The 7,853-nt window shown below is 40.1% G+C and overlaps 1 long non-coding RNA gene across 1 annotated transcript; it reads right to left on the bottom strand.

The window, feature by feature from the left end:
* Positions 1 to 750: 750 nt before the first annotated feature.
* Positions 751 to 6,147, bottom strand: LOC124907972 (uncharacterized). Its single transcript, XR_007088064.1, has 2 exons — positions 5,640 to 6,147; positions 751 to 4,446 (listed from the first exon to the last, which is right to left on the bottom strand). It is a non-coding gene; the product is annotated as an uncharacterized LOC124907972 (long non-coding RNA).

Here is a 7,853-nt window from a genome sequence, read left to right as displayed (position 1 = left end):
CTGGGGGTGGCTTAAAACAATAGAAATGTATTCGGTCACAGGTTGAGAGGCCAGAAATCTGAAATCAAAATGTCAACAGGGCAATGATTCCTCCACATTTTGCCTCTTTCAGCTTCTGATTATAACAAATTACCATAAACTAGGTGGCTTAAAACAATAGAAATTTATTCTGTCACAGGTTGAGAGGCCAGAGATCTGAAATCAAAGTGTCAGCAGGGCAATGATTCCTCCACATTTTGCCTCTTCTAGCTTCTGGTGGCCCCAGGCACTCCTTGGCTTGGGTATTGAAAGAAAAGCTTGGAAATATAATGTCCCCCACCACCCAATATGGTATGGCTTTGTGTCCCCACCAAAATCTTATCTCAAATTGTAATCCCCACATGTTGAGGGAGGGACCTGGTGGGAGATGATTGGATCATTGAGGGTGGTTTCCCCCATGCTGTTCTCGTGAGAGTAAGGAAGTTCTCACAAGATCTGATGGTTTTAAAAGTGGCAGTTTTTCCTCCACTCTTACTTCTCTCCCTCCTGCCGCCATGTAAGACGTGCCTTGCTTCCCCTTCACGTTCCACCATGATTGTAAGTTTCCTGAGGCCTCCCCAGCCATGTGGAACAGTGAGTCAATTAAACCTCTTTCCTTTATAAATTACCCAGTCTCAGGTATTTTTTTATAGCAGTGTGAAAATGGACTAATGCAACCCCCCAAACTGGGAAGGAGCCTAGAGACTATAGAATGACTTGGGCAAATCCAACTTGATGAGTAGGTGAGTTTATTAGGACTTAACATACAGGGCATTCCTAGGTGGTAGCAGGACAACTCTGGAGATTTGCCCCACACACCCCCTTACCCCACCCATCTTCAAGCTGCTTTTAAGCTAATTTTCTGGCTTTTCTTCTCTGTGTGTGATGAGTGTTTTTCTTGGTATGTCCCCAGGTACTCTCCCAAATGTTTGTGTTCTCAGGGAACACAGCACATGGTGTTCCTTGGCTGAGCACCATGACCTTGGCTCACCACCCAGTCTTCAGGGCTCAAGCAGTGGACATACACCCTTAAGTAACCTGGTGGAGAACCCGTCGCATTACACTTGGGGTTACAGACTCCAGTGTCTGTTACCATCTTCACATGGCTTTCTTCTCTGTGATTCTCCTCTTCTCTTCCTGTACAGACACTTTTTTATTCGATTTAGCATCTACCTGGTTAATCCAGGGTAAGATCTTTAACTTAATTTCATCTGTGAGACTCTTTTCCCAAATAAGGTCACATTTATAGGCACCAGGGTTAAGACTTGGACATATTTTTGGGGGGCCACAATTCAACACGCCATAAATGCTATTATAAAAAGTCAATAAAGGTAAAAGAAAAACTAACACAGAGTTTCTTTCTGGTAGTGGGAATGGACAGAAATGATGTCTGAAATATGTTAGAAGCAGAATCACTGGCATTTGGTGACTTCATGCAGAAGTGAGAGAAATTGGGCCAAGAATTCAAGCCTAAGTGGCATAAAGAAGAGTAGTACAATAACACTAACAGCTTAGGGAAGTTGCAGGGAAAACGGAGTAAGGGAAATGGTAAGTTGGCTTGAATATAGTGTAGATTGGTGAAGATGAAAAAAAATTGAAGTGGAAAGGAGACAAATTTATGATGATCATCTAGCTGATCCTAAAGTATCAAAAACTTGATTTTGAATTCAGAATTTTCAGAAGTCATATTTTGAATTTCATCTTGGGTCTGTATAGCCAACTGTTTATCATACACATCACTTTTATTCCAGGTAAATGGCTCTTGAAAGGACAGTTTCTAGAAAAATCCTTAGCCAGGTAAATGGCTCTTAAGAGTTTCTAGAAAAATCCTTAGTATTTTGTTTCTATTAGTAGGAACAATTATGCTCCCCCAGTACCATAATTACCTCAAAGTGTTCAATATCATGTAATGTCTTTGGGATAACAGTAAGAAAATAGTAAGTTAAATTCTGGGTTCATATCATGTTTATTTTGTAAGAGTCCAATTTCTTTTAAATGAGAAATTAGAGTATAGAGTCTACTGAGAATCTCTACTAACTAGAATATTTTATTAACCAGAACATCCCTATCTCATGACCATCAAGATAAGTGACAATCTGATACTGCCTTTCTAAAGGTAGATGCCTTTAGTTATGGACAGCCTCCTGCATTTCACAGACAGGACTCTGTGTAGTTACTTGCATCACAGATTTTCTTTTATCTCTTCTACAACCTCAATTATAGCCTGTTCATTTTATTTCTGCCCTCAAAACAGTGGAGTCAAGTTGCTTCTAGAGAACTTACCAGCACAACTAATCCAGAGAGATTTAAAAAAACACAGGCTCCTCACTGTGGGATGCACAAACAAGCTGAGACACTTACTAGCTATCTGATCTTAAGGGAAACCACTTATTGTTTCTGTGCCTCAATTTCTGCCCTTCATCTCTCACCAGATGTGTATACCAAACCCAGATGTCTTGCTAATTAGCAAAGTAAACATCAGAAATATATTTTCATTGGTAAAATTAGTGACTTGTTCAATAAGTTAATCATCAATCAGATCTCACTGGAATAATAAGTGGTATTCAAGATATACGATTAAACTCAAATATTTCAGAAATGCATCCCATGCTTGGCACCTCAAGCTTGATCCTCAAAGAATCCAGTGTCCATCCATTGGATTTCCGATGCTAACTATAAGAGTAATAGAATCTTGCCTCTGGAATATTGTTGAGCCAGCTTGAAGTCATTAGAGCACTAAAGAGGACAGAGAGCTAGGTTTTTATCTTATTCTATGAACTGTTGTATACTTGCTTACAAATACATGTTTAATACATGCCTATATAAGTGGCAGAATTTGGTCTGATATTTTTATTATAACCTATCATCAACTCAACGTGTGGGGAAACCGACAACCCCACTGATCTTAAGCTTTTCCACAGTTAGTGCTATTTGCCAAAAAGATAAGAATCTCAGGGTTGTATGTGGTCAAATAAGTTCCCTTCATAACACTCATTACTTTGAGAAAAACACTTGTTTGAATTAAATAAACATAATTAATTCCTACTTTCATAAATCCTAATGTAAGAGACCATGTATAGTACTCCCGAATAATAACAATTTTGAATGAAGAGCTAATATTTGCTGCTATATTATTAAGAGACTTTACTTGCCAGCAATGTAAATATATTGTGATCAAAGATTAGTATAAACAAGTAATATAAAGTATCTTGGCTTTTAAGAGCTAAGTAAAGAATGAAGATGTCAGAATTCACCCCTTGACTGCATTCCTATTCAAATTCGAAAATCTGGGGTCACAAGAATGAGGCATGAATTTAATAAAACAATTAGTTTTTCACCACTAACCCCAGGGACCAGGAAAATTATCCTCTGTAGTAGTAAGAAATTCAAAGGTATAGTTAAGAAATATAAACCTTATTTTTCTCCACTGTAATTCAATTATCAAACTCTAAGGATGTTTCTAGTATAGCTCTAATTTTGCAATAGTGCACTAGGAGAAAGCCAATCTGTAAAGCAAGTTTCTATGTCATTGGAACAGATCAAGGTCCAAAGTGTCTCTCTCTCTCTCTTTCTCTCTAATGTTCTTGTTTAATGGAATGCACTTTCAAATGTAATTTATGCCTTGCTTTATGGATCACAAAGATATTTTGTTAAATATGCCAGATGATAAATACTTACAAATTGTTTATCAACTCTTATACCATCACCCCAAGAAGAAAATGAGCTAAGATTTTCTTTAGCAGCAAAGGTGATTATCTCATCCAGAAGTAGCTGGGTGAAAATTCACAAAGCAAATGTTATTGACTGCCTATCAGTCTCTGAGTATGAAAACTATTTCCCTCTGAGTAATCAAAGAAAATCCCTGAGATTTCTTGCTGCTCTTTTCTGTCTTCCAGATAGGCCTAGTGGTGGGGGTTGGGAGGAGGTGGGATTTGCCCTCAATCTGTAGACTCCACCCAATCTGAGGCATGGATTGAGGCAACCAGCCAGCAGAGTCCAGGAAGCTGGCATAACCAGGCCTAACCAGGAAGGATGCAGTGTCTCTTCTGGCTTCTGCAATCTTTGGATCTGACCTCTTTTATGAAGTTTGCCCTGGGATGGCAGGACTAACCCTCGCATCACAGCAGGAGCTCCCAAGAGATATTTTTTACCAATCCTTCTCTTTTCATGCTCGTACCCAGTACCAAAGTCTCTCATGTTTTCTTTCCTTCTTTTGCTCTTAAGAATCCCAAAATCCCTGGGGCCAGGAAGGCCTTGGGCTTGGATCTTCAGGCAGAAGTGGGCTGTTTTCACAATAACCTGTCACAAAACAATGAAGTCTTTCTCACCCACTCAATATTTCCAAGCTCCAGCTCCAATCCCAGACCATGTGTTCTGAAAATTCCATCTTGAAAGAGAGGTAGTTGATGCATACAAGGTTTTATCCACCTAAAATATAAGAAGGAAAAAAATATTAAGGATAATAGTGTTTGTTATGAGTGGGGTGTTTTACAAACATTTCTTTTATCCTTACAACAATCTTGTGAGGTATTGCCATTTCTCAGTTGAGAAATCTGAGATCTGAGATAAGCAACTTGTTCAGGATTATACTAATATTATCTGGTTGATTGAGCCCATTTACTCTCCCCACCTCCACCCCCACCCCAAAATTCCCTTCCTCACTCTCTCTCTGTCTTTTCCTCCGTGTTTCCAACTCTCATTTTCTAGATCAAAGTTCAAAATAATGAAAACAGTGGGTAATTAGCTTGTGAATAGATACAGGCTTAGCTCCATTGCACTCTAAGCACCTGATTTATATTTATGTGCTTTTGTCCGTCTCCACAGACAAGTTCCACAGGTTTAAAAAATATGCTGTGTTTGAGACCAGCCTGGCCAACATGGTGAAACTCCGTCTCTACTTAAAAAAATACAAAAATTAGCCAGGTGTGGTGGCAGGCACCTACAACCCCAGCTACTTGGGAGGCTGAGGCAATGGAGAATCGCTTCAACCGGGAGGGTGGTGGTTGCAGTGAGCCAAGATGGTGCCACTTCACTCCAGCCTGAGCGAAAGAGCGAAACTCCGTCTAGAAAAAAGGGGGGGCTTTGTTCATTTCTGTTTATAATATCTGGAAGATCGCCTGGCATGTAGGCATGTATAAGGCTTTCAATAAATACTTGTTGAATGAATTAACGGACAAGCAGATGAGTGAAATAGAAAAGTCTACAAATAGACCTAAATACATAAGGGAATGCAAATGATAGAGTTCATATTTTAAATCAGCAGAAAACATGGATTATTGCAATGAACTGAATGTTTATGTCCCCCTGAAAATTCATATGTTGAGAAACCCTAACTCCCAATGATACAGAAGGGCTGGACTCCTGGGTAAACCCCACCCTTAAGCTTGAAACCTCAACCCTAAGTGAAGACAACTGACCCTGTTTTTCTGCCCAAATGTTGCCTTTTTGGCTTGCCCCTGCCTCTATCTTATGCCCATGAAAGACTTCAGCTGGCATGGCAACACAAGCAGCTGAGCATCAGTGATATAAGTGGCTGAGCGTCAATAATACAAGTGGCTGAGGAGCAAATAGAGAAACAACTGAGTGTCAGAGACTACAGGTAGACATGACTAACTTCAGACCTTGTGGCTTCAGAGAGGGGACCAGCTGAAGATGGCTGGGCTTCAGGGAGTGATCATCTTTCCATCCCCTTTCCAGTTTCCCTTTCCACTGAGAGCCGGCACCGCTCAATAAAGTCTTCCATATTCATCACCTTTCAAACAGTTCATGTGACCTGATTCTTCCTGGATGCTGGGCAAGAACCCAGGTGCCGAGAGGGCAGGGGCTGCCACCCTGACCCTCCACTAAGCTGGTTGGCACTTGGCCATCCTGGATGCAGAGCTGAAAGAGCATTGGTTGAATACACTTGAACACCACTACAGGGTTCGCACGGAGCCTGCTCCCACCAGAGAGGAATGCCCAGCGGATTCCAGCATTCAGTTCACTCAAGTTTCCACACTTGGTTGCTTGCATACTCTCTCCCACAAGGAGTGGCCAGCGATGGGTTGAATGAAACGAGCCACTCCAGTTCCTGCCTGCAAAGGGGGTCAAGAGCACTGTCCCGTCTCATCAAGGGTATTAAAAGGTGGAGTTGGCCAGGCGCAGTGGCTCACACCAGCAATCCCAGCACTTTGGGAGACCTAGGTGGGCGGATCACCCGAGGTCGGGAGTTCAAGACCAGCCTGACCAACATGGAGAAACCCAGTGTCTACTAAAAATACAAAATTAGCTGGGCGTGGTGGCGCATGCCTGTAATCCCAGCTACGCCAGAGGTTGTGGCAGAAGAATCTCTTGAACCCAGGAGGTGGAGGTTGCGCAGAGCAGATGCTTCTTTCTCTTGATTGAAAGAAAGGAAGGATGGGCATGTAGATATATTTGAGAGAGGAGATGGGAAGTTGAAGAAGTTTGCAGCAAATTGAGATAAGCACAGGATGGCTAGTTTTGAAAGAAAATAAATAAAGCTCTTGAATTAAAAATGTGATTCATGGCCCACATAGTTTTAGTTCATAAGCTGACACTCAACAATATTAACATTAAATTATAGATTAATTTGACTAAATATTTTCCCTTTGATAAAGACACCTATCACCCAAGGAATGTACTTTACAGAAGTAATAACTTTCAGTTTCATGTGGAGTTTAAGCAAATACATTCAGGTTTCTATGGAAATAATGTTAAACCTATGTACTCAAATAAAGCTAAAAGTGTTGTGTTTTGTTTTTTTCTGTTTGTTTGTTTCTGAGACAGGGTCTCACTCTGTCACCCAGGCTGGACTGCAATGGCGCAATCTCGGCTCACAGCAGCCTTGACCTCCTGGGCTCAGGTGATCTTTGCACCTCAGCCTCCTGAGTAGCGGGGACTGCAGGCATAGGCCACCAAGCCTGGCTAATTTTTGGTAGATATAGGGTTTTGCCATGTTTCCCAGAGCCTGGCCTAGAACTTCTGGACTCAAGCAATCCACCTGCTTTGGCCTCCCAAAGTATTGGGATTACAGGAGTGAGCCACCGTGTCTGGCCTTAAAAGATTGTTAAATGGAGACCAGGTGGAATTACTATGGCAAAGGGCATGTATTGCCAGCAAAATCTTCCCATGAAGGCTTATCTTACCCTAAATACAAATCAGCTATGAAGAGGAATAATTCTGTATTATGCAAGCAAAATGGTTTAGCAATCATCCTTGTGACATTGTCCAAGATCTATATTACAGAATTACAGATGCTTAGATTTCTTTAGTCTAAGACTGTAATGCACTAAAACTTATGCAACACTTCTATATTTGATTAGATAAGTTTTGCTTTGCACCAGGGGAAATAAATAAATACTTTTTCTAATGAGCTCTGTATACAATGACTATAAAAAAAAAAAAAAGGAGAGCCCTAGAAGATAAATTTTATAACTTTTCTTTTACTTTGAGCAGTTTTTCCTTATAAATGTGTATGATTAATATTTTGGTCATATTATATTATAGGTATGGCTCATAGAGAAGCAATTTAGAAGCAGATTAGGGTTTGAAGTTGGAAGCTTAAACAAATCCATTCTTAATCCTGACAATAAAGTTTACTGTCAAAATTGTTGGTTACAGATACTTAAATTGCTATTTATTTTTTTAAAGAAAATGTTCCAAAACATAAAACAGTAACTAGTTTTGAGACCATTGTCCTCTATAAGGGAAAAGAAAATATTTCAGACACATTTAACAGATGCCAATTTCAGTTTCTCAATTATGTCATCAAGGTATTCTTCAAACCAAATATAAAAATATATATATAATTTCTAATCACTCACTTTTTATACATT

The sequence above is a fragment of the Homo sapiens genome, chromosome 2, assembly GCF_000001405.40.
Source record: "Homo sapiens chromosome 2, GRCh38.p14 Primary Assembly".
NCBI classification, from domain to species: domain Eukaryota; kingdom Metazoa; phylum Chordata; class Mammalia; order Primates; family Hominidae; genus Homo; species Homo sapiens.
Note: the sequence above shows the minus strand (reverse complement) of the source record. Positions and strands in the feature narration are given on the sequence as shown.